This window comes from Homo sapiens, chromosome 19 (assembly GCF_000001405.40).
Source record: "Homo sapiens chromosome 19, GRCh38.p14 Primary Assembly".
NCBI classification, from domain to species: Eukaryota; Metazoa; Chordata; class Mammalia; order Primates; family Hominidae; genus Homo; species Homo sapiens.
Window position 1 is genome coordinate 31,239,983 of NC_000019.10, and position 25,855 is coordinate 31,265,837.

The 25,855-nt window shown below is 46.4% G+C and overlaps 1 protein-coding gene across 2 annotated transcripts in view, besides 2 other annotated features; it reads right to left on the reverse strand.

The window, feature by feature from the left end:
- The window catches only part of TSHZ3 (teashirt zinc finger homeobox 3), a 201,002-nt gene that overhangs the window by 90,107 nt on the left and 85,040 nt on the right, over positions 1-25,855 (reverse strand). The gene's annotated exons all lie outside the window — the stretch shown is intronic.
- Positions 13,924-14,922: an enhancer, noted in NCBI's record as "H3K27ac-H3K4me1 hESC enhancer chr19:31744812-31745810 (GRCh37/hg19 assembly coordinates)". NCBI's record gives its function as "activates a minimal SCP1, AML or CMV promoter by ChIP-STARR-seq in naive H9 embryonic stem cells {active_cell/tissue: H9 hESC(naive)}" and the evidence as "EXISTENCE:reporter gene assay evidence [ECO:0000049][PMID:30033119]".
- Positions 14,923-15,920: an enhancer, noted in NCBI's record as "H3K27ac-H3K4me1 hESC enhancer chr19:31745811-31746808 (GRCh37/hg19 assembly coordinates)". NCBI's record gives its function as "activates a minimal SCP1, AML or CMV promoter by ChIP-STARR-seq in naive H9 embryonic stem cells {active_cell/tissue: H9 hESC(naive)}" and the evidence as "EXISTENCE:reporter gene assay evidence [ECO:0000049][PMID:30033119]".

Genomic DNA, 25,855 nt, shown 5'->3' on the forward strand with positions numbered 1-25,855 from the left:
TTCTTTGCAATTTGACTCTGATTATTTATTTTACATTTATCTTGCTTGGAATTGACTTAGATTTTTGGTTTTGTTTTTAATCTGAAAATTTTTTTCTTGTTTTTCATTCAATTTGTTAAGTTTTTAGTCATTGTTTTTCTAAATGCTGGTGTGCTCCTTACAATTGTTTTCTGAGACTCAAATTTCAGGTATGTAAAAGCAGTAGTTCTCATATTTTTTGGTCCCAATACTTCTTTACATTATGTAAAATTTTCAAGCACCACGAAAGCATTTGTTTATGTAGTTATATCTATCAATATTTATATTAGAAAGTAAAGCAGACAAATTGTTAAAAATATGTATTTTGACACACATAAAAACAAAAATACCATAACACATTAAAATAAAAAAGATAGACTTATTGAAAAAAATCAAAAATTCTTCGTGAGAAGAATGACACTTTCACAGAGTGCTTTTTATGGCTTAATAGAAGACAGCTACAGTCTCATATTTGTTTCCGCATTTAATCTGTTGTTATATCATTCATCTTGCAGTCTATGGAAAACTCCACTTTACACCTATGAAAAGATGGACGTGAGAAAGGCAAATAATATCTTAGTTATCATAAATATAGCTTTAGTAGTACAGATTTTATGAAATAATCTTGGGGACACTCACACTTTGAAAACTGTTATTAAGCAATTAAATATTTTCACACAGGTCCATAAGGTTCTGTTTATTTTTTTTAATTCTTTTTTTCCGTATATGTTATTGAAAAATGCTATTGATTTATAAACAAGATCCTTCTTTCTCTGCCCAGTTATAATCTTCTGTTAGGTTCATCTGGTAATTTTTTTAAAGTTTCAGTTATTATAATTTTCTGTTACTGAATTTCCATTCGGTTGATTTTTTGTATAGTTTACATTTTTCTGCTCAGATTCTTTTTCTATTCAATCATTAGGACCATATTTTTCTTTAATTCTTTGAAAATATTATACTTGTTTTAAAGTCTTTGCTAGCTCCATCATAGGAGTCATCTTACATTTAGTTTCTTGATTATATTTTCTTTATCCCTGAATCACATTTTCATGTTTTTATTTTTGTATGCCTAAGTGATATTTGATTGAACACTGCACACCACAGATTATATGTGGTAGAGAATGTGGATTCTGTTATCTTTTCATAGGAATGTGTGCACATGTTTATTAGGCAGTTCAGTTGCTTGCACATCGTCTAGTAGGCTTGGTTTTATGTTTTTTAAATAATAAATGGAAAGTCCAAGGTATTTCCCAAGCCCCTCTAATTTGACAGGACTCAAACTGCAAACTCTTGTTGGGGCTTCAATTTGGACTCTGTTGGGACAAATTAAGAATAGTTCTTATACCTTAGACACAATTTTCTGTTGTCTTGAAAGATGCTGAGATGTTAACCATATGCTCAAGAGATCTCTTCACTCTAATAAGGTTGAGAATCAAGCATCCAGCCCCACCACACTGCCTGTCCTCCGTCACTGTCAAAGCTTTAGTCTCTCTGCTCTACTTTCAATCTCCCAACAGCTTAACTCTGGTAAGCACTAGGTAATCTCCATGCACGTGCAGTCTGGTTCTCAGCCATGGACTTGCAGGGAACCACCTACACACCTCCCTTTCTCTGATGCGCCATTGTGCAGACTGCAGCCATTTGAAGTGACTCAAACTCTGACCTCATTCTCCTCAGCTCAGCATGCCCACCATCCTCTGCCCAGATATCAGCTTGCTCTGCTGTGATTGTGCTACTATTACAACCCCGGCAGGGGACTGAATGACCAGAAATCTCCTCACATGAGCTTCCCTTCTCTCTGAAATCACTGCTTTGTGTTATCTAATTGTTATTGCCCCAAATCAGTTGTCATACGTTGTGTCTAGTTTTATAGTTCTTTATGACAAGAGAACCAACTGAGCTATTCCGTAAACCTGTGAGGTTCACTGGGCCCACATACCTCACTCTGATCAGGCAATCTGCCCTGTCATACCATCTTCACTTGATGCCTAGTAGACAATTATTCAAGGGATGTAAACTATATAGATAATTAAGTGGGTAATTTCATTTCCTCAGTGGATTTTTAGGCATATTTTTGAAATGCATACTTCTCTACTTAGCCAGTGACTTTCCTCTCACATATGGCAGCCCTGGTCTTTGAATCTTCACTTAAAATTTGTCCCTTCCAGAAGACAGCTTTAGTATTAGTCAGGGTTCTTCAGAGGGACAGAACCAATAGGATGCATAGATAGATAAGTGAGAGGCTATTTATTAAGGGAATTGGCTCACATGATTATGGAGGCTGAGAAGTCCTACAACAGGCCATATGCAAGCTGGAGACCCAGGGATGCCTGCAGCATGGCTCAGTCCAAGTCCAAAAGCCTCAGAACCAGAGAAGCCAGAGGTGTAGCTTGAAGTCTGAGGCCAAAGGCCTGAAAACCTGGGGCAGGGGTTGCTGCTACACATCCTAGAGTACAAAGGCCTGAGAATCTGGAGTTCTGATGTCCAAAGGCAGCAGAAGATGGGTGCCTCGGTTCTACGTGAGAGAACCTGGAGTTCTGATGTCCAAAGGCAGCAGCAGATGGGTGTCTCAGGTCTAGAAAACAGAATCTGGAGTTCTGATGTCCAAAGGCATCAGAAGATGGGTGTCTCAGTTCTACGAGAGAGAACCTGGAGTTCTGATGTCCAAAGGCAGCAGCAGATGTATGTCTGAGGTCTAGGAGAGATAATCTGGAACTCTGATGTCCAAAAGCATCAGAAGATGGGCGTCTCAGTTCTAACAGAGAGAACCTGGAGTTCTGATGTCCACAGGCAGCAGCAGATGGGTGTCTCAGTTCTAGGAGAGAGAACCTGGAGCTCTGATGTCCAAAGTCAGCGGAAGATGGGTGCCTTAGTTCTAGGGGAGAGAAAGCACAAACTCAACTTTCCTCTGCCTTTTTGTTCTATTTGGGACCCCAGCAGATTGGATGGTGCCTGCTTACATTGAGGGTAGATCTTCCCATCTCAGTCCACCAATTCACCCTCCAATCTCCTCCAGAAATACACTCACAGATGCACCCAGAAATAATGCTCTATCAGCTATCTAGATATCCTTTAATCCAGTCAAGTTGATGCCTAAAATTAACCATCACACCCTCCTAAACCAACCTGTCTGAAGCCTTCAATGAAAGGAAAGATGCACATATATCTGTAGCTATAACTACTGACTGTTTATATGGATTAAGAGAAGTATAGTACTTCATACCTGTCATTGATGGATTTTTTTTCTCCACTGCACTTAGAAGAACTACAACCCCAAATTCCTTAGTCTGACCTTGGCACAATTCCATGCTTGGTCCCTAGTCATTTCTAATCCATGTTGGTAACTCAACCTACAATTATACTGTTACACACTTACAGACTTCACTTAAAACAAGTCTGTGGGATTTTTGCCATAGTCACTCCTAACTATCATCCATCCACTCACCCCTGTGTAGTCAGGGTCCCACTGTATCACACCAACCCATGCATGGTATCCTATATCATATAATGCCCTGAACTTTCCCGTGTCAGAGGGAGGTGAGCCCGGCAGGCTGGTATTATAGTGGTGACCGCCCTGCCGCCTGCATATGGGATGAGTCCTCTCAAATAGCAGAAGCAGAGGGGGTGGGGGCAGATGCATGTCCCACCGACACAGGATACCATCCTCGGGGGCTCCGTGCCTCCCCTGCCAAGGTCAGGGTTGTTCAGATGATATGGGGGAGCAGCGGAGTGGTGTTCATCGAGCTCTGGGAATGGGAGCTGGGTCCCCTCTCTGTGACCTTAGGAAGCTTATTTAACCTCACTGACTCTGTTTTCCTCATCTGCATTTGGAAACTTGATGTAACAATATCAAATCATGATTTCTCATGTGGAATACACTTGGAGGAGGGCGGTTTGCACTGTGGTTGCTCTACCCTGAGGGTGGTTATCAGCAAGGCCTTTTTAAAGTAGACTTGAGCTTTAGGTATTAAGAACCTAAAACATGTGCATAACTTTTGGCCTGGGATTTCTCTCCATTTTTAGGTCTGTGTTCCAAGGAAATGATCAGTGATATAGTTAAATATTTGCATTCAGGGATGTTATTTGAAACTTTATATATAACAATGACAGTGTATGATATAATTTGCATCTGTGTCTGCACCCAGATCTCATGTCAAATTGTAATGCCCAGTGTTGGAGGTGGGGCCTGGTGGGAGGTGATTGGATCTTGGGGGCGGATTTCCTCCCCATGCTGCTCTCTTGATAGTGAGTGAGTGAGTGCTCATTAGATCCGGTTGTTTAAAAGTGTGTGCACCTCCCCACTCTCTCTCTTCCTCCTGCTCTGGCCATGTAAGACATGCTGGCTTCCCCTTTGCCTTCCACCATGACTGAAAGTTTCCTGAGGCCTACTCAGCCATGCTTCCTGTACAGCCTGAGGAACTGTGACCAATTAAACCTCTGTCATTAAACAAGAAGCTACTTTTATAAGAAATTTTATAAGAAATTCTCATAAATTGCCCACTCTCAGGTATTTCTTTACAGCTGTGAGGGAACGGACTACTATAAAGTATATCAGTATAAAATTAGCCTACATCCAAATATGGAAGATTGCCCAAATTGTGATTTATCCACATAATGGGATATGTATACGGTCATTCAAAATCATTTCTTTTTTTTTAATTGAGATATGGCCTGGCTCTGTCCCCCAGGCTGGAGTGCAGAGGCATGATCTCAGCTCATTGCTGCCTCGACATCCCGGGTTCAAGTGATGCTCCCACTTCAGCCTCCCAAGTAGCTGGGACTACAGGCACATGCCACCACACTTGGCTAATTTTTGAAATTTTTGTAGAGACAGGTTTTCACCATTTTGCCCAGGCTGGTCTTGAACTCTTGGGCTCAAGACATCTGCCCACCTCAGCCTCCCAAAGTGTTAGGATTATAGGCATGAGCCACTGCTCCTTGCCTAAAATCTTATAAAGAAAATTTAATATCATTGGAAAATGCTTACAATATAAAGCAGTCAAATAAATACTCTATGTAATTTGTTATGTATGTATAAAGTATATAGGAAAATATTCACAGTGTTATTATCTCTGGATGATAGTGTTGATTGTTGGTGATTTATTATTTTTTTCTTTATTATAATATTCTATATTTTTCAATTGTTGCAAGTCAGTATACAATAAACAAAAATCTTACTTACGAAAAAATGTTGGAGTTAAAGTCTGGGGTCTGGATTTGAGTCCAGGCCCCAACATTTGCTGTGCAACCTTAAGTAGGAGAAAGCTGAAAAATGGGAAAAACTTGTCTCACCCTTCTCATTGGATAGGCAAGGAACTAAAATAAGATAATGTGCACAGGACTCATGTGGAAGGAAAATGGCAAAAAAGATAGGGGGGCTATTGCTCATATGAATCTGACTAGGAAACAAGAAGCTGCTCTTAAAAGAAATATTGATGCTTACAAGGTTTCAGGTCACCCCTATCTCCTCCAGCCTATCTTTAAAATAGACAAAATTCAAAACAAAACAACACAAAATCTCACGCAGAAGGTTCTTCTGCCTGGTAACAGAATGCTTCTGTGTAGTTAAAACACAAGCTACATCTGACAACTGCACTATCAGATGGGAGCTCTGGACATGTGAAAATCATTGCTCCTGTACTGTAAGACCTGATAGAGCCCTGGTCAGCCACCAGCCTTGCAGAGGATTACATGGGGTCTCCATACAAAGCTGGATGCTTCAAGATAGTTGCAGTCTCAAGAGTGCATTCCCTGCCTCTGACGGAGTGGTAGGGGCTGTTACAACCCATCCTGTGGTGCCCAAGAAGACACTCAGCATTCATTGCAGGTAGTGTGGCCCCCAGTGCAGCCACATTGGAATCCATTTGTAATATTTATTTAACTAGAAAATATAAACGTCCTAAGTCCCAACAATCCTACTTCTCTGCAGCAACTCTAGGGATGTATTTGCTGATGTGCATGAAATGGCTGGGCATTCCTTTTAAGTACTACATGATATTCCATAGATGAGGCATGCTAAAATAGTATTCAGACCTCAGAGACTTCTCTTATTGTTCAGCATCTCGAGTTAAGCTGCAATGAAGTGAATCGACATGTCACAACATCAAAAGTCTCCAAGAGTTTGTTTTTTTTAAATTTAAAAAAGTATGTTGCTAATCAGAATATACACTATCAAATCATTTATATAAAAATAAGTCAAAACACTACAATTCTAATTTCTGTGGGTGTATAAGGCTCAGAAAAATGTCTGGAAAGATTCATACCAAATTGATCATATTGATTAGACCTGAAGGTATGGGTGAATGTGGAGGATACAATCTTTCTTACCTGTATTTAAAATCATTTTTAAAAAGAATGTGTTCATGTATTACTTGTGCAATTCACATAAATTTGACAGTAAAAATTAAAATAGCTGACATAAAATAATTATGAATAGTCAACAACTGAACAAACAAATAAATATACTATAGTCATTCAAAGCCAGGTTTCTCATTGTTGGAGAAAGGAGTATAAAATTGGAAAGGGGAGGAGGAGACAGAATAAGCCCTAAGGTGCTGGATTGAAATTGAAGTTATAAGTAAAAACTCATGGTTTAAAAAGGGACAGAGGAAGGGAGGAAGGGAGAGAGAGTGAGGGAGGTCAGGGGAGAGAAGGAGAGAGATAAAGAAATTGTTCATATGCATACGCACAGAGGACCTGGAAGCAATGGAACTCCAATAGCAACGAGCATACTTAGCATGGAGGCGTTTCTTTCTATGTCATTCTCCTCTAAGAGAAGACAGGGCCACTTACAAAATGGTCATTGCAGGCCTGCAACCGAGAAAGCACAAGATGAGCCTGAAACTTCTGGTCCCAAAAAGTAAGGAAATGCTCAAAGAATAACAGGGACATATCAAAAGGACAAAGAAGCCAATTTGCAGAGACTCCCACTGGCCAAATATGAGGCAAATTTAGCACAAAAATAAATAATGATTGAAAATCATGATTTATTGAATGAAATAAGCATTCACCAGTTACATGGATATAAATAAATAAATGAAAAAGAAGGAAAAGCTCTTCCTTGCAGTAGAAAGACAATTAGTAAATGTAGAAGGAATACTATAATTAGAAAAATTTCCTCTTGGCAACTATCATCATCATCCTTGAATCAAACAAGAATCGTCAACGGATATTAAAACTACTGAAGGGATGTTTGAGGAATAACAGGGGATATTTACATAGTCTTGAAATATCTCCCATAAGACGCTTACTTATTTCAAAGGAAAAGGACATTTTCCTAAGAATGGAGAAAGCTGGCAACACCACTGTCACCAAGACATCCAGATTAGCAACTCTAATCATGGGACAAAGCTACATCTTGTGCCCCCTGACAGGAAGAACCAAGGAGACCAAGGCACCATTTTGGTGGTATTTCTGCCAGAAATGAGTAATGCAAACCTAATCCTCATAAAATATCAGGATTTAAAAAACCCAAATTGAGGACGATCCACACAGTAGCCAGACTCCAGCCCTCAAAAACGTCAGTGTCATGGAACACAAAGGAAGATAAAGGCATAAAAGGAGGCCAAGGAGAGATGAGCACCGAAGGCAACTCACGATCTGTGATTTCCTTCCACCACTAAGGAGAGTGTTAGGATAATCAGCCCCATCAGAACAAAATCTGTAGATGACGGGTTATCCTATCAATATTAACTTCCTGATTTTTGTGTATTTTCTAATTCCTGTGTTTATGGAAGTGCACATCTTGTTTATGGGAAATGCACGCTGAAGTATTCATGGGTGAAAGAGCATCAGGTCTGCAGTTAATTCTCCAATGGTTCAGAAAAATTAAAGTGCGTGTATACACACAATTACAGTGTGTGTGTGTGTGTGTATGTATGTATGTATTAGTCTGTTTTCACGCTGCTGATAAAGACACATCTGAGATTGGGTAATTTATAAAGGAAAAGTTGTTTAATGAACTCACAGTTCCACATGGCTGGGGAGGCCTCACAATCATGGTGGAAGGTGAAAGCTACGTCTAACAAGGCAGCAGGTAAGAGAAAATGAGAGCCAAGTGCAAGCAGAAACCCCTTATAAAACCATCAGATCTCGTGAGACTTACTCACTACCACGAGAACAGTATGGGGGAAACCTCCTGCACGATTCACTTATCTCCCACTGGGTCCTGCCTGCAACACATGGGAATTATGGGAGCTACAATTCATATGAGATTGGGTGGGGACACAGCCAAGTCATATCAGTGTGATACATAAAAAGAGAGAGGAAGAGAGAAAAGAATAAAAGCTGGTAAAATGCTAACAATTAGGGAATCTGATGAAGAGAATATGAGAATTCTCGCAACTTTTCTGTAAGCCTGAAATTACAAACTTAAAAAGAAATGGCAAGTTTAAAGGCAAAATAAAGGGGTAGACAAAACAACTTGCAGCAAGCAACCAGGGTCTCCAGCCAAGATGTCAGAGTCAACAACCTGGCCAATACTGCGGAGAAGCTGTGTATACAGAATACTCAAAACTCTGGGTCCAAGGCCGGGAGCAGTGGTCCCTGCCTGTCATCCCAGCACTTGGGCCCAGGAGTTCCAGACCAGCCCAGGCAACACAGCAAGACCTTATTTCTACCAAAAAAAAAAAAGTTTAAAAGACTAGCAAGGCATAGTGGCTTGTGCCTGTGGTCCCAGCTACTTGGGAGGCTGAGGAGGGAGGATCTCTTGAGCCTGAATGGTCGAGGCTGCAGTAGCCATGATCGCACCACTGCACTCCAGCCTGGAGAGACAGCCAGACCCTGTTTGAAAAAAAAAAAAAAAGAAGAAGAAGGAAAAAGAAAAAGAAAAAGAAAAATATCTGGATTCAGGTTCAAATGTCGGCCAAGAGAAAGGAGGACAGTAAGACCTTTCAAAACCTTCATTTCTAAAACAGGACTATTAATCCTAAATCAAAGGATGCTGGGGTGATGGAGCAGGTTTTGAGTAGTTTTGAGTGGAGAGCAGCTAGCATTGAGCCAAGCCCCTAGAACCTGCTCAAGAGATGAGAGTGTGGCTAGTCCCTCCCTGCTCGCTTGCGACCCCCAAGACCATCACTGAAATACACAGGGAGGTGAGGGCCTCAAGTACCTGAGACGCTAAGAGTAAGCACAGAGTGGGTGAGGAGCCTCTGCCTAGGGGTCAAGTCAGTGTCCCGTTGGGTTGCAGAAGCTTTTTATTGAATAAAGTTCCAGGGCTCCAGTGATCTGTCAATGCTGCACCTGCAGCCTGAGGAAGTAGGAAAAGCTAGGTGTCCGCTTATTCAGAGGGGCAGGATAGCCCACCCAACGCTTGAAACGCATGTGCCTTTCCAGCGCAGTTGGATCTAGCTTTGGAAACTTGGAAGACTGATATGAAGATGGTCCCAGGCTGCTGCAGTCCTTGGCACTAGAGGGCAGGCCAGCAGGTTCCCTGTCTGCCCGGGTCAACTGAACAGGGACCTTGGCACCGACTGCAGAGTGGCTGCTGTCTACTTAAACACACACACACATGCGCGCCCGCACACACACACACTCTCCAAAGGGAAGCTTAATATATAAAAAATATAGAATTCATAGAATCAAAGTAAAATTGAATTCCTCAGGCAGTTTAACTCTTTCCCCTTGGGCAGGAAAAGGTTCAGTTTTGACAAAACCTCGAATACGCCTCCGCTGAGACCTGCTGTCACAGCTCTGGGTTTGAGCATCCACAGTTCAGGATGGAGGGAGACCCCAGAGATAGGGCCAGACAGGCCTCCGCCCCTCCCTCTGGCAGGTCCTTCATCTCCCCAACCCCAGCTTCCTCCAAGGTGACATGTAAAGACAGCACTGTCCAGTTCCTCCTGTCATCATGGAGATAACAGATAACATGCAGCGTCCTGGAAGACACTCCGTGGTCAATAACTAGCAGCAATGACTCTGATTATCATCCACATTTGCTTCCTGGGGATACAGAAATATATCCTCCCTGGAGCCTCGGTTCTCCTGGACTCAGAGAGGGACATGAGCTGCTGCTCTGAGCTGTTCCTGGTGCAAGAGCTCCCAGGCTGCACGCGCCAGGCACACAGCACATGCCCGGGACACACCTGTCGAGTGAACACATGGACAGGCACAGCCAAATCTTTCTGACATCTTAAAAGCACTGAAGGAAATTCTAAGTCCTCTTAAAAATATATCTTTAAGCACATCTATGAGCATGACTTTCCTCACCCCTATACCTGCAAGCAGACATTGTTACCCTTGAGTCTAAATCATCTTTTCCCTTTTGCGTTGCAAAAATTTTCCCTGACAGCCAACAGAACATATTCTTCTTCTAATTGTTGGTTTACCTCTCACAAACGCTGGTGGATCTCCCCATCTCTAATCCTCACCCGCTCATTCATTAACTATCAAGTGTGGCTTTTTGGAACAATTATATTCTGTCCTGCTGTCAGCTCTATCCACACAGGTAGAGAATACATCCCAACTCCTTACATGGGATGTAAATTATTGCTGGCATACCAGTACCTGAAGAATGATTACACCCAGTGCACAGTTAAATAATGGATGCTTAGCACAGTGCATTGTAATAAGCAAAAGATATGAAATATCTACAATTCTAAGTGGAATACGCTAAGTATTTTTTTTATAATAAAACCGTTTTGGGGGAAGACAGGCTATTGAATCATGGTCTCCAGAAAAGACACCCATGTGTCAGTTCATTTGCAGAAGCCGGCTGGCGCTGTCATCTCATCTGTGAAGTGGGGACAAGAATCATATTTTTCATCAAGTAGAGGTACTGCTTAGCACTGAGCCTGACACACAGTAGGTGCTCAGTAAATGGCAGTAGCTGCTGTCATCTGAGGAATGGCTGCCCTGGCTAGGCTAGCAGTAGGCTGGGGCAGTATCTCCTCGTGGGAAGAGCAGCTGGAGTGCTCACCACCTAGATGTACCTGTGGTCAGGTTTGGTGTCTGACCACAGGGAGGGGCAGGCACACCACCCTGCCCCACCCCACCCACCTTTCCACTGGGAAGCTGAGGGTAGAGCCTGCTTTGCCACCAAACACAGTAGAAGGTTCTGGAGGGCTGGGAGGAAATGGAGTTAGGGTGGCTCTTGAAGACTTCTCTCTGCCTTGGAAGCCTTCCAGAAATAGAACCCTGGAACTCAGTGCAGTGCTCAGGCCTGAGCAGTAGGGGCCTCTTCCTGAGCCCCATGCTCTGCAGGGCCCTTCTGTGATCCTTGTCCCAGGGCAAGGAGTATGCAGATACAGGGGACATGTCTGCCTGGGACCTGCATCCTTCCCATTTCAGAGCATGCTTTAGCCCCCTTAGGAAGTCCATTTCACAGCAAAGGAAGCTGAAACCCAGAGGATACTGGTTTCCCTGCAAAGCAGAAGAGGTGGTCTTACTAATTCCAAACCAGTTGTTCCTTATTCCAAAGCTGTTCTGGCCTCACCCTGCCTCCTGCTCCCTAGTGACATGGGTGCCTGGGATATTTTGCACCTGTGCAACAGGCACCTCTTTGACCTCCTTCACAGCAAATGAAGCTGAGACCCAGAAGATAAAGGATTCCCTGGGAAGCAGAAGAGGTGGTCTTTCTAATTCTGAAGGTGTTCTAGCCCCACCCTCTCCCCACGCCTCCCAACCCTGCCGTGATATGGGTTCCTGGAACCTTTGCATCTGTCCAGTGGGCACTTCTTTGGCCACCTAGACCAGTCCATCTGGTGTTCTCAAGCCAAGGCCCCCGGAAGATGCAGCAGGCTGTGCTGAGTGGGAATGAACACTTCCTGCTCTCATTCCTGCCTGGGGAGGTGGAGTGGGACCTACCACAGAGCCAGGGCTGAGAGCAGCAGAACTATCTAGAACACTCACGCCAGCATCCTACCCACTGCAGCGCTGATGCCGGAGCAAACCGCCTCTGCTCAAGGGCTTCTCAGCAGAGCTCCCCTCTGCAGTCCCCACAGGAGGCCTGGAGCTCGGGTGGTTTCCCAGGGCTGGAAGTGCATGGTTTTCCTCTGTATCCCTAAGCACCCCTGGGCACTGAGGCACAGGACATAGTGCTGGGGTGCTGCGTAACCTGCAGATGTTTCCAACCTTCTAAGTCTCAGTGTGTAAATTCGTTTCCTGAGGCCATGACATTAAACATGGTGGCTTAAAATAACAGATATTTATTTTCTCACAGCTCTGGAAGCTGCAAGCCAGAAATCAAGGTGTCTACAGGGTCATGCTCCCTCAGGCTTCAGGGGAAAATCCGTTTCTTGACTTTTCTGGCTTTTGGTGGCCTTCCTGAGGTTGTGGCTGCATCCCTGTAATCTCTGCCTCTGTCTTCGCTCCACGGTCTCTCCCTATGCCAGCTCCCCCGTGTGTCTCTTGTAAGGACACATGTCATCAAAGTCAGGGCCCACCTGGATAACTCAGGATGATCTTCACATCTCCAGACACTTGATTCACTTATATCAGGTGATATGGTTTGGCTCCATGTCCCTAACCAAATCTCATCTTGAATTATAATCCCCACATGTCAAGCATGGGACCAGGTGGGAGTAACTGGATCCTGAGGTCAGTTTCCCCATGCTGTTCTCATGACAGTGAGTTCTCAGAAGATCTGATGGTTTTATACGCATCTGGCATTTCCTCTGCTTGCAGCTCTCTCTCCTGCTGCCATGTGAAGAAGTTGCCTGCTTCCCCTTTGCCTTCTGCCATGATTGTAAGTTCCCTAAGTCCTCCCCAGCCATGCGGAACTGAGTCCATTAAACCTCTTTCCTGTATAAATTACCCAGTCTCAGGTATTTCTTCATAGTAGTATGAGAATGGACTAATACATTGGCAAAGACCCTTTTTCCAAATAAAGTAAACATTTACAGGTTCCAGGGATCAGGATGTGGGCATATCTTTTTGGAGACCACCATTCAGCCCACTACTGTGTCCTCAGTTATAAGGCACAAATAATAATACTATTAGCCTCATAAAATTATGGTGAAGATTTAACAAGACAATGTATATTAGACAAGTGCTGAAAATATTCAGTATAGATATTTTAATTTTCTCTGCACATACATTTAGGTAAAAACAATATATAGATCTTGATAATAGAGTCCTAGTGCACGTCAAACATTTACTTGCTTAGTTAATCGAAACCATCTCTAAAGGTTATTTGCGTATTCAGGGTGAGGTATCCTCGTGCAAATCCCAAGACAAGGTGTTCCCAGGGACAGGGGTAGTTGGGGTCATTAGAGGGGCTTTAAATATCACTGATGAGTCACTTTCATTGTACTAGCAAAATAAGCAGTTCAAGTACAAGAGCTAAGGTTTCTAAGACACACATAGACTTTTCAGAGAAAAATGCAGCAAATGGATCAAGATAAGAAGAAGAAAGAACAGGATTTTTTTTAAGATTAAAAAAAGGAAAACAGTCATAGATGTCCTTGGCAGAGAAATGGCTGAACGCCCAAAGTTGCATCTCAACTGTGTGCCCCTCCACAGGGGTTAACAGAAAAGCTGAAGGGCCTGAGAAAACCAAGTCTCCAACAATATGTGCAGAATAATTATTAATTTTTTTTAATCTTTGTAGAGATGAAGTCTCGCTATGTTGCCCAGGCAGGTCTCAAACTTCTGGCCTCAAGCAATCCTCCCCCTTCAGCCTCCCAAAGTGCTGGGATTACAGGCATGAATCATTGCACCCAGCTGCAAAATGATCATATATGTAAAAAGCAATAGTCTGTGCATGCATGGGTACGCTTTCCTGTGCACATATAAGCATGGAATGATGACATACTTCTACCTCGCAACCCGGATAGAAAGGGCCAACTCCCTGTCCCCCACCCACCAGTTCACCACTGTCCCTTCAGCAAAGGGACAGGAATGAAGAGGGAGTTTTACTACTTCTGTAATGTGTGGCAATTTCTCAGCAAAGACGGCAGCAGAATTTGACAGTGCAATCTCAAAATTAAGGAAATTTCACATCCAGCTGTCAAAGGCTGTCAAAGGACAGCTGGGTGTGACTAAGGCAGAGGAGCTCCTGCTCTTGTCTGAACACTACTCTCCTCCCCACCCCCATCTACAGAACAGACCGGCTCACAGACAACCTCCCATACTAATTCTGCTGCAAGGATTTGGGTACCTTGCCAGGCAGGTCCTGGGCACCTGGCAGATTTTGAATGGGAGACTGAGTGACCTGCTGACCAGCCAGCCTCCTGAGACCCACTGGCAAATACCCTGTGGTCTTAGCATCCCCTGCTCCATCCACTTGCATGAGGACAAAATGAAGAGCTTCAAGGTCATGCCTGGTTAGGGATGCTGGGTACCCTGGGTACCAGAGTGCTGTGCCCAAGGGTGTACACGTTCTGGTCCCCAGCACGGCCGGGCCTGCAGAGGAGGCAGGAGTGAGTCACCACAAAGCTATGCTGCACAGGTGCAGTGAAACTGTGATATGCTGGGAACTGAGCCCAGGCTGGGCTGTGGGCCCTGGAGGAAAGGGGGCCGGTCAGCACCAATCCCCGGGGCTGAAATATAAAACACGCTGTGGCTCGCCCTCTCTGAGAGTGCACTGGCTTTCATATTTCTGAGGCTTTGTTTTGCCACAATGGATGCATTTCTGAGTTCCTGTCTTTGTAAACAGATACCGTTCAATGCGGCGGGTGATTTTCAGGCCATCCGCCTCTCTGCTTTCCCACATTTTGGAGGAGCAGAGTTCAAGTTCTAGTTCTTGCCCTAGCTGTGGTGTGATCCACATGGGCTGAGTCCCCATTCTGGGCTCCAACCTGCTCTGTGAAACTGCAGTCAATGGGGCTAGTGCGTGTCTAAGGACAGCGGGAAGTGGCCTGCTCTGAAGTCATCCATGAATCCTCTTAGTCATTCCCCGGGGTGCCCTGATGCTGATGGACAAGGCCACACTTAGATTCAAGTATGCAAGGAAGGACTGCAGCATCTAAAAGCTATCACCTGGCCAGCATCTGGAGAAGGTGGTGCTGGGGGCAGGTGCCTCAGCAGGAGTGGGGAAGGAAGGAAGTCACTTCAATGAATGATAATGAACTTTGCCCAACATCCTCCTAGCTAGAGGAGAGTCTGGGTTTCCTTTCCAGAGACTCTGATCAGACAAAGAATCAGCTTTTGGTTCCATGCTTTCCTGGCTCTCTGGTGACTGGAGAAGGAAAACGAAGGAGATGAGGTTTCCACTGTTGATCATCAATGGGGAATGCCAACCAAATTTTGCAGAGTGTTTTGAACTCCCCCAAAACCCCTCTGCAGTAGGCAATGGTGAATCCAAATAGCACACATCTAGGGGCAGTGAGGACGGGCTCTGCTTGCTACCCTCTGCAGGGGGACACAGTAAGCTGCTCTGAAACCCCAGCTGCTGGCTGGAGTGGGAGGCAGCCTGGATGCTCCAGAAACTCCAGGCCTGCTTCATAACTCACCATGTTGCAGGAATGTGTCATCCTCAGAACAACGTCACTAAAGGCCTGGGGGATTTGCGTCTGCCTCAAAATCATACCCGGCCTTATTTTCAAATCACTGCGCTTACCACCAAGAGTTGTGCCCTTTCTTTTATGCATGGCAGGGGCGCCGGGCTAACACGACCTGAGCTCCCTTCCCATTCAAAGCCACACCACGGACACCTGTCACTACAGCTGCTCCCCAAGCGGCTGTGTGTGGTTTTGGCCGGTGTCACAGTCACTCAAGCACCCCGGGGTTTCTGGGGGCAGGGTCAGCTTGCCCTAAGACAGGCAGAGCAGCAGCAGAGGGGTCTGCGCATGGGAATTCTGTATCCTTCTCTGCAGGGAATGGGGAATCCCTTGTCCTTAGAAATCTGGGGGCATCTCATGGCCTCTACATCTAAAAGAACCAGGTAAGCCCCCCCTTACTCAGTGCCAATCCTGTTCAAGTGTTGCTCAGGGGCTAGTGTTGGGGTGATGAGTGAGGTGTTTGCAGTCTTGGGAAGAAGCTCAATGTTCACCCTGTAACAGAAGTTGAGATTGCCCAGGACAGGAGGGGACGGTCCAGTCACTGGAAGCGGAGGGGTGTGGGGTGCAGGGGATGCAGTAGGAGAGCGCAGGGGTGGCGCCAAAACTGAGTGCATGGTCATTCTTCATCAACACAAGCATGCAGCCTTGGTCCCCATGTTCACCCTCCCCGAGGCTCACTTTCTCCCCTTCTGTGAAATGAGATTATAAAGTGACTTTCCCCTCATAGGACTGCTGCAGGATGGAGAGAGACAGGGAACACAGAGGAATCCACTCAGGGCCTGGCTCCTGCACACCCACCACGGTGGCCTTGCTTTTAGTCTTCCCTGTCTAGTGAAGAATCCCTTTACATCTCATTAGAATCCAACACACCCTCTGTGCACATGCCTGCCGCCCAGCCCCATCAGCTCTCTCTCTGCGGGGGTCCTTTTCCAGGTGCAGTAGACAGAGAGAAAGATTCAGGTCTCAGGTGCTCCCAGGCTGGGGCGAGACTCACCTGTAAGCAGATTGCAACATGAAGTAGTGACAGATGTTTGCCCAGAGGGCCTCGGGAGTGACTGTCTGTGCCTGGGGGTATTCCCCAGGGCATATGAGGCAGAGGCGCTCTGATGCTGTAACACACACAGCAAACATGTACAGAGTATGTTCATTCTTTTTTATCATATATGCCTTCATTTTCCATTCATTCATTATTTCTTGGTTATCTACCATGTGCCAGGCACAGAGAAGTTTTGCAATATGGGAACAGCCCTCCATTCAGAGGAAGTGACGGCTCCTGACGGAGGGGCTTTCCCTGCACAGGGTCACTGCCCTGCCCGCCTGTCCTCACAGTGCCACCGTGGGCCTGAGGCTGCAGCTCTCACTGAGGTTCGTGCCACTGGACAGTCTGCCTGGCTGATTCCTCTGTGTTCCCTGTCTCGATCTCCATCCCACAGCATTGTCCTACTCACAGCACCAAGGACAGGACTGGACACGCTACAGGTGACTGAAAGCAAGGCCGCCATGGTGGGTGTGCAGGAGCCAGGTCCTGAGTAGTGAGTTCCTCTGTGTTCCCTGTCCCTCTCTATCCCACAGCAGTCCTATTGGTCAGTCCTGTTGACAGCTGTGGCCTTTGGTGTGGGGAGTGCTCCAGGGCGGGTGCTCCAGAAGAGGTGTTTCCTCCCTGGCTTCAGGGAGCGCTTTGTAGGAGAGCCAGAGATGGCTGCACAGAGGCCATTAGAGAGAATGGACATTGTAAGCAGAGGGAAGGATGTAAGCCAAGGCACAGAGGGCTGCGCTACTCAGGGTGGCGAGGGAGCAGGACGGTGCCGTGGGGAACTGTGTGCTCAGAAGCTAAGCCCAGACACCAGCCCCAGAGGGCTGGCCTGGGAAAGCCAACCAGAGTGTCTGAGCGACTCTCATTCCCTTTGGTGCCTTAGCCTGAGTGTTCTGAAGGCAGAGCTGAGGCAAAACAGTATATGTGAGTAGTTTATTCCGGAACATGACCCCGTAAGCAGGGATGAGGGAAGGAGGGGCAAAAGCAGCAGATGCCCAGCCAATCGAAGGACACACCATCAAATTCACCACTGCTGTGGGCAATGGGGCTCCACCCCAGGACCCCTCTGGAGGACCCCGTGAAATGACTCCAAATTATCCACTCTGGAGAAGGAAGGCTCCTCCGCTGTTGGTCAGGCTGGCCCCAGGACCTGCTAAGTCACTGTGGTTTAAGATTGCCTGGCAGCACAGATTGGCCGGCTGCACGGGACTATGCTGCAGTCTCAGACCCTCCTGGGGAAGACGCGAGGGGCTTGTCCCTGGGCCTGACCTCCTGCCTGCTCTGGTTGCTTCTGTATGGACTAGTCACCACCTATGCAGAGTGGTCCCTATAAAAAGGCTTGAGTCTGAGAGTTCTAAGTTGGGCACGAAAGCAGATCTGACTGGGGATTTAAGGAAAAGCAAAAGCCTTCAGCCCCAGCTGTCTGACATGGGTCTTTGCCGAGGGCTAGATTTTCCCAAACTTGGAGCCAAGCATTCCAGGGCAAGTAACTGATTTGGGAAGTGCAAGGGAGACAGGGAGGGGACTGAGTGAAGGATGGCACCCAGTTAAGGGGGTGAGACTGGGGCAATTGATAAACTGGGTGACTGCAGCTTAATCCCATGAGAAGACTCCCGGAAACAAGCATCCCAGGCTTATTCCCCTCTACCAGAGGCGAGGAGCTGGGGTTCAGACCCATCCATGGTATCTTACAACACAATTGCCAATCCCTCCCCAAAGTCCCTGTCCATCATTGGTTGGGAGCAGCTCCCAAGGGTATAAGCTCCCTGGCTCTTGGGGCCTGCCATGAGGGTAGAGTGGCTTTCTCAAGTTTTGGACAAAGCTCTCAGACACAGGAACGCAGATTCCAGCTGTTCTGTCCAGTAAAGCCCTTGATCCAGGCCTCAGCCACAGGACATGGAACAGGACTGCTGCAGGCTGTCTTGATGGCCAGGAGAGGCCACTTGCAAACCCTTGCTCCAAGTCCTCAACCCGGGAAATCGCCCTTCTGTTCAACAAGCACTTCCTATGAGTCTCTCCCTGGCTCTGTTTTGGTTTTCTCCGCAGCCAGCAGCACCCTATCAGGCATGAGAGTAAATGTTTATTTGCTTCTTGGATTATGGTCTGTCTCCCCCACTGATCTGATCAGCTCTCCAAGGACAGGGATTCGGTCATACTGTTTTATCTCAAGTGCCTAACACAGTGCCTTGTCCGTGAAAGATGCTCACATATCTGTTGAATACAGGAAATAAGGGAAGGAAGAACTGATGCCTGAGATTCTCGGAGACTAGCTGTCAATCAATGTAGTCTCCCGGGGAGAAATGCAGGTCTCTTGCCACAGCTTAGCATAAGTGTCTTCCCTTGGCTTCCCCTGGGCCCTAGGGCTGGCTTCCCAAAGCTGCTGTTCAGTGGCCCATCGGGTCGATTCCTCTAGGCACCATCACAGCCATTTCCAGTACAGTGTGAGTCCTCTGTGAGTCCCGGCAGGTCTGGGATCCATGCCCCGGCCCGCCTTCTCTATCCAACCCCAGCCCCACGGTCTTGCTTACACATAGTTGGTGGTGTAAAGTCACGGCAGTATTCAAAAGGTTAAAGCAGAGTGAACTGTTAATTTTAATGCTTTCTCTAAGATTCAGTTTTAATAAGCGAAAATGATGTTCTTATTTGCAGTAAAGTGGTGTTATAAAATTCTGTCTGTCAAGATCATTTTAAAACCATGGAAATAAATGATCTGACAAAATCAGGCTATTAGACAAGTGAGGAAGAGTGATTTCCATAAAAGTAGAGGAGCTGTTCCTTAATTTCACACTTGGTAGTCTTTTGGGTCGACTAAATTTTTAAATAAGTGATAAAATTATATTAGCGCAATTGCATTTTTATAGATTTTTTTGGTCATTGTACTCTTTTTCAATCCCTTTATTTTAACTCAAACTGTTCTGCTGAAAGGTTACTCTCAACTTATGTTACCCCATAACAGTCTTCAGCCCACGACATGGCCTGAAGCTCGCAAATCCTCAGACTGTCCAGGTAGGGTCCAGTCGAAGCATGCGTCTGAGAAATGGTCGTTCCCTGCTAGGCACATGGGCTGGGGTCTGTGGTCCTGGGTGCAGAGGGAGGGCAGGGAGGCCACTGAGGGTATCCTATGGGGCTGGGAGCTCACCTGTCCCTGGGTATCTGAGCTCACTCAATTTTTGCTGGAAATAAAAAAAAAAAGAGAAATAGGAGGTCATGTTCTCCAGAAACCCTCATTCTTCCAACTCAAGATGCTGGGTGTAGACGGCAGCTGTCACTGTTTGCTGAAGGAGCTGCATTTAGGGAAGAGGAGAGAATGGTGGTTCTTTTGTGATCCATCACGTGCCCACCCTCTAAGAACCCTCAAATCATCACATCTCCAGCCCAGGCCAAGGATTTTGTCTCAGTCACTAGGAAAATCCTTAGAGAAAGCCCAAGATCCCAGGTCTCTTGTGGGACCAAAATATCACTGATGGGACAGATGTGGGCCCAGTTGCGCGGGAGAGAGGAACGCTTCCAACTTGACTTTTCATCACTAGAACAACTTCTATGATGTGCATCTTTCATACTTCCTTCTGCTCTGCCCTGTGCTGATTGTCCAGGTTAATTGTTCAGAGGGCAGACATGGGCCTCCTGCAGGCTCAGCCTCAGCCCTGAGCCATCTCCAGGGCCCAGCTCAGGACCTGGGGTCTGCATCCCTTTGCTGTTGTGATTTTGGCTAATTCTGAGACCCAGCCAGCAACTTCTACTCCCCTCTGCATCCTGAGTTCCCCTCTTGCTCTGTCCTGCCCAGTCCCCCCGCCCAGGTCTCTGTCAGATTCACCATCCTCGTCTATGTCTGGTCATCTCTTGTCCGTGGTGCCCTGCCTAACTAAGTACAGCCAGTCCGGTGATACTACATAAAGTGTACTTTGGCAAATTACCGCCCCTCCTCTTCAGTGGTCAGGTCTGGGTTCAGAATCTGAGACCTGGGGCTGTGCAGAAGCTGGGAGCTCAGCCTTGGCATCCACCTGATCTCTGGGCTCTGTCCTCCTGGCATGCACTGAGGAACTCTGGCTGACAGGCTATTCTCTGGGCTTCCCAGGGCAGCAGCTTTTTAAAACATGTACTCATTTCCAGGTAGTCTTTTTCCAGGAAAAATATGAAGCTCCTTAGTGAGAGAAAACGCACCTTTGTTGAGCATCTACTATGTGCCAGGCACAGGGCTAGGCTGGCAGAGTGCAGTCAATTTGTTTATTGGACAGGAAGGGTGTGGCGCTCACTTGGGAAGCACAGCTCTGGGAACAAAAGAACATTTTGTCCCAGTTAGAGAATGGCCTCCTCTTCCTGAAACCCAAGTACCAGGGAAAAGGAGAGGCAGGCTGTGTTAGCACTTAGGAAGGCACTGAGCTTGAACTCAAAGGTTGTGAGAATCCATTCACCACATGCATTTTTAAAATTATGAATTTAGCCCAAGTTTTCTCAGCACCTTCTGTGTGCCAAGCACTGTGCCGGCTCCTATAATATTAAATAGAAGGCCAATTTTGAATGCGGGGCGTGGTGGCCAGGGAAGGATGCCTGCATTCTCCTAGAGGACCTTTCAGGCTGCACTCTTGGCTCAAGAGTAAGAGAAGCAACCTGGAAACTTATATCCTCCTGTGCTTCAATCTCCCCATCAGTACAATGGGTGCTCAGGGTGCCCAAGGGCTCTCCCACCCCTGGCGCCCTGTAGGCAGAACATCTGTGGACATTAAGAAGCCAAGAACTGCAGGCTGGGTCTGTGTGCCCTCTGCCAGCCACTGAACACTGCTCTGATATTCAAAGGAGCATCTTCAGAACTCAGAAGTCAAAAATCACATTCTCCAGAGTCTCTGAGAGGCAATGCCTGAGCTTAGGGGAATGTTAAATTTCCAGTGTTTCCTGCAAAAGAGGAAGAAGCACCGATAGGCAAAGCCCGAGGGGTGGCCTTGGAGGGACAGGGCTGTCTCTCCCAAGGAAGGAATAAAGAAGTCCAAATTAGTCATGTTGTATTACTTCTTTTTATGGCAATGCTCTGAAAGTCTGCAAATGTCAGCATGTTAATTTACTGTCACTCAGTGATATTATTTCATCCTTTCAAAAATGTGTTTCTTGCATTTTCAGTAGCATACTCCAAGTGTTCTCCATCTCAAAGTTTCTATAGATAGTGCGACTACTTTCACTCTGACCGTTGCCAAAATGTAGAAATTCATCGTTGACTGCAGCCACATATACGTTACAAGTGGAGCTGGGACTCGGGTTTCCTGCTTACAGAAACCGGGGGAGAGGTCTGAATTTTCTCTGTGTTCTTGTTCTATCACCTCTTGTCCTCCAAAAGTACTCTGTGGTTTCTCTCTCAAGGCACGTGCAGAGATAAATTTCATAGAGAGATGTTAAGCCATCAGTCACGGCTGAGTTTGTATATGAAGTCGGAACCCTCCCTGTCTGCGAGCCCAGCCCCCTCCACCCCAATGATTCTCCTATGGTGGCAAACTTATTTCAAAAATTCTGATGAAACACTTTGTAAATTTTGTTATTCTGTGATGATAATAAATCATTATAGCCTTAAACACTTCTCTAGCTTGGAGCCTCAGTCACAAATTATCTTGTCATTCTGACCAAAACATTCTCCAAAAAAGCTTGACAAGTGCTAAAACCCAGAACATGAAACCATGTGTTGTTGTGAAAGCAAGATTCAGAAATGTCAATTAATTAGATTAAGAGGCTACTTTTAGCTTTACCCGTGTTGCCAAATAACCCTTAAAATATGCATAGCAGTGGAAATCTACCTCCGCGGTACAGTACTTCAGTGCTGAGGGAAGACAATGGCTCGGACTAATGGACAAAATTGTTGTATCTGTCAGTCAGCTGCAAAGAATGATCTAGAAGCAAATGTCTTGCTTCTTTTTCCACAATGTGATTTCACGAGCTGGGTAAATGCTACCATTTATGAATTCGAAGAGCTCCCCCCTCCCACTCCACCTCTTAAAAATCATACACAGATCAAGAAGAAAAAGTCAAGTCGTTTTCATATGTCTTTACTAGTAAGATAGGTTTTTAATGTCTTTCTGTGCTTTTTTTTAAAAAATTTGCATTTGCATTTTGAAGTTCACTTTGTAAAAAAAATATATACCGTGGAGAAATTATTTAAATGTTTTTTTATCCCTGTTTCTTGAAAATCTTATCTTTAAATAATCTATATCCTCAATTTTATTTATGCCATAAACTGTTCCTATATTTTAATGGTCTGTTTGCTTTAAAAGGGGTTGTTGGTTTTAATAGCTCAGTTGCTATCTTTGTAAACTAAACTCCTTCTGACGAAATTCGAGCAGATCATCTCTGCCTGTGAGTGGAAGGCACATTCCAACCCCTGAAAAGGAAATTTAAGCCAAATAAATGTTCTGCCCAAATTAAAATACATAAAATGAATAGTTAACTCGGACAAGAGCTGATGGACGCAACAGTTGGGCTGCGGACATGTGGGTGTTGAGAGCGCTGACTGCCAGGCAGGACCTCAGGAGAGAAAACCCAGATGAAATTAATTTCCTGTAACCCCCTTTGTCCATTCCTCAGGACTAATTGATGGCAGTGCTGGCACGGACATCTTGGGTGAGCAGAAATGACCAGGGCAGACAGCATCGTGAAGGGTGGTGTGGGTCTCTGCCCTGCCGGGGTCTGAAGATGGCTGGCTCAGAATTGCAGCCTCTGAGCCAGGACTTGGAGGTCCCGGAGGACAGGGACAGGAAACTCTCCTCCAAATTCTCAAGGCCGTTGAACCCACCTTGATTATATTAGAATCCATGTGGATTCTGGCACTAATTTTAGGACAGGTCATTTTCATGGAGGAAGGACAAAGAAATGGCAGGGGGTGGGGAGTGTGGGCACTGGATGAGAATCCTATGAAGCTTTGCAAAGCTGCATGGAGATGTGACAGCAGCCCCTCTCCTCTTGGCATTCATAACCTCGCCACCCGCTGCCCACGGCTGCCCCCCAGCAGCGAGCACGAGGAGCTGCGAAGGCATGAAGGAAAGCTGCCTTCTCCCCAGCTGGAGTGCCCCCGTCCTGCTGGTCAGGGCAAGACGTGCCCTGTGGCAAGTGGGGGACTTATTGGGGGAGGGACTTCCTGCATGGGGCCACTTCCTGCATGATGTCATTTTGTGCGGGGCCAAGAGAGGGGGGACAGTGTGCCCTGCAGCAGGCTTCCAGGTTTCCATGTCTCACAGATCCTGTGGGTCCCCCCCACTCCTCACATCCCCACCCCTCTCAGCCAGTCCCACTGTTTCTAGCTAGCAATGAGGCAATTAATGAGCTGTATAGAGGCCCTAAGTTATCTCTGGAACTAGATGGGTAATAACCACATAAATAAGTAAATAATTAAATAACTAAATAAAATAAAACGGATGAGTGAGGCACCAGAGCTCTAGTCTCCATGGAATGAGTTGTACGGGGTAGCAGAAACAGTGGGGGAGGAGGGGGAGGCCCATAGCTCCAGCCTTGGCTCTGCCACTGACATGAAGTGTGTGACCTTGGGCAAGTCACTCCTCCTTGCTGGGAGCTCTCCCACCCGACCAAAGACCCCATGTAGAATAGGTGCCAATAGGAGTGCAGTGGGGAGATGGGAGCATGAATGGTTTAAATGTAGCAGGAGGCAGGGGTATCCAAATGGCCTCACATTCCTTCATCTTCCCGGTCTGCATCTGGCCAAAACCTTCCTCCTGCAAGCCCTATGATTGTGGGGACATATTCCACCTGTGCACAGGGAAGCCACCCTCAGCCAGTGACAGGCAGGAGGTGGTGGACCATCAGCTGCCTTATCCTGGGGTGGGGCCACTCAAAGATGAGAGTTTCCTGCACAAACCTGCAGAGGTTCCTGGGGACCAAGTACCAGTGGCCTACAGTGGCAGCTTGCTCCTTAATGCATTGGGAATTAGCTTCCTTTTTTTCCCCATCTGCCTCCTCCTCCCTCCTATCTGAACGTTCCAGGCTCCCTTGTCAAATGAACTACCTGCCCTCAAATCCTCACCTCAGTCCCGCCTGTGGGAGAGCCCAGCCTACAAGACAGATAGGGAGGAGCAGGGCCCAGGGCCAGCCAGAGAGCGGATGTCCTGTCTAAAATGGGCGGCTGCTGCCCGGTTCCAGCCACCTGCTGTCATGCAGGAATGTGGCATCCGGAGATGCCAGAAATCTCACTGTTGTATGAAATCTCCCAATCTTCAAAGTTTGGCAATGAATTCAAGTTTTGTGGGTTTTTCTTTTTTTTTTTTTTTAAGCCGTGTGGCTCAAGCCAAACAAATCGGCAGGTCATATTCCATCCATGGGTCACATTTTGCAACCTGTGCCAGGTAAAATATTCATTGCGCAGTTCAGGTGCCAGAGACAGGGCCAGTCAACGAAGGTTCCTCTTTCTAGTAAATTCTGGTCTGCAGCCATAACAGGGTATAGGAAGTCATGATCAAAAGGACCAGCAGTTTTTGGGCAGAGAGGCCCACTCTGACTGTGGGGTAGGGGTCCCCAGCTATACCTTGTGGAGAGAGTGGCCAGGAGGTTCTCAAGGTCAGCATGGCCCACCCTGTACACTTCTGGCCCAAGGAGGAGGAGACACTGCCTGCCCCATTAGGAGAACCTGCTCCCAGTGGGTCACAAAAATCCCATAGCCGGCTGGGTGCAGTGGATCATGCCTGTAATCCTAGCACGTTGGGAGGCTGAGGGAGGTGGATTACCTGAGGTCAGGAGTTCGAGATCAGCCTGGCCAACATGGTGAAACCCCGTCTCTACTAAAAATATGAAAATTAGCCGGGCATGGTGGTCCATGCCTGTAATCCCAGCTACTCAGGAGGCTGAGGCAGGAGAATCACTTGAACCTGGGAGGCGGAGGTTGCAGTGAGCCAAAGTTGCGCCATTGCACTCCAGCCTGGGCAATAAGAACAAAACTCTGTCTCAAAAAAAAAAAAAAAAAAAAAAAGAAAGAAAGAAAGAAAAAGAAAAGAAAAGAAAAGAAAAGAAAATCCCATACCTTGGTTTCTCATCAGGATTCTCCCTATTGTAAATTGAAGTCCTTGAATCAGGGGTGCCACTCCTTGAGGAATTTGAGAAGGTCATACTAGGGCTCATTCCCCCTTTAGCAAACTGAGGCCAGACATTATTCGAGATGCACAGAGAATTACCTACCAGCCCTTTGCATCCCGGACTGGAACCCTAAACATATGGCTTGAACCTGACCTTCAGGCAGAGCCAGGCCTGCTGCTCTGGGCCTGAAAACAGGTGGGAACACACCTACTGTCACTATTGTGAAAGGAAGCCCCTTTCCCCTGAAGGTTGCTGAGCCACACAAGGATGGGTCACCCACAAAGGGAAAAGTGCCTGAGTCCAAGGCAGAGTC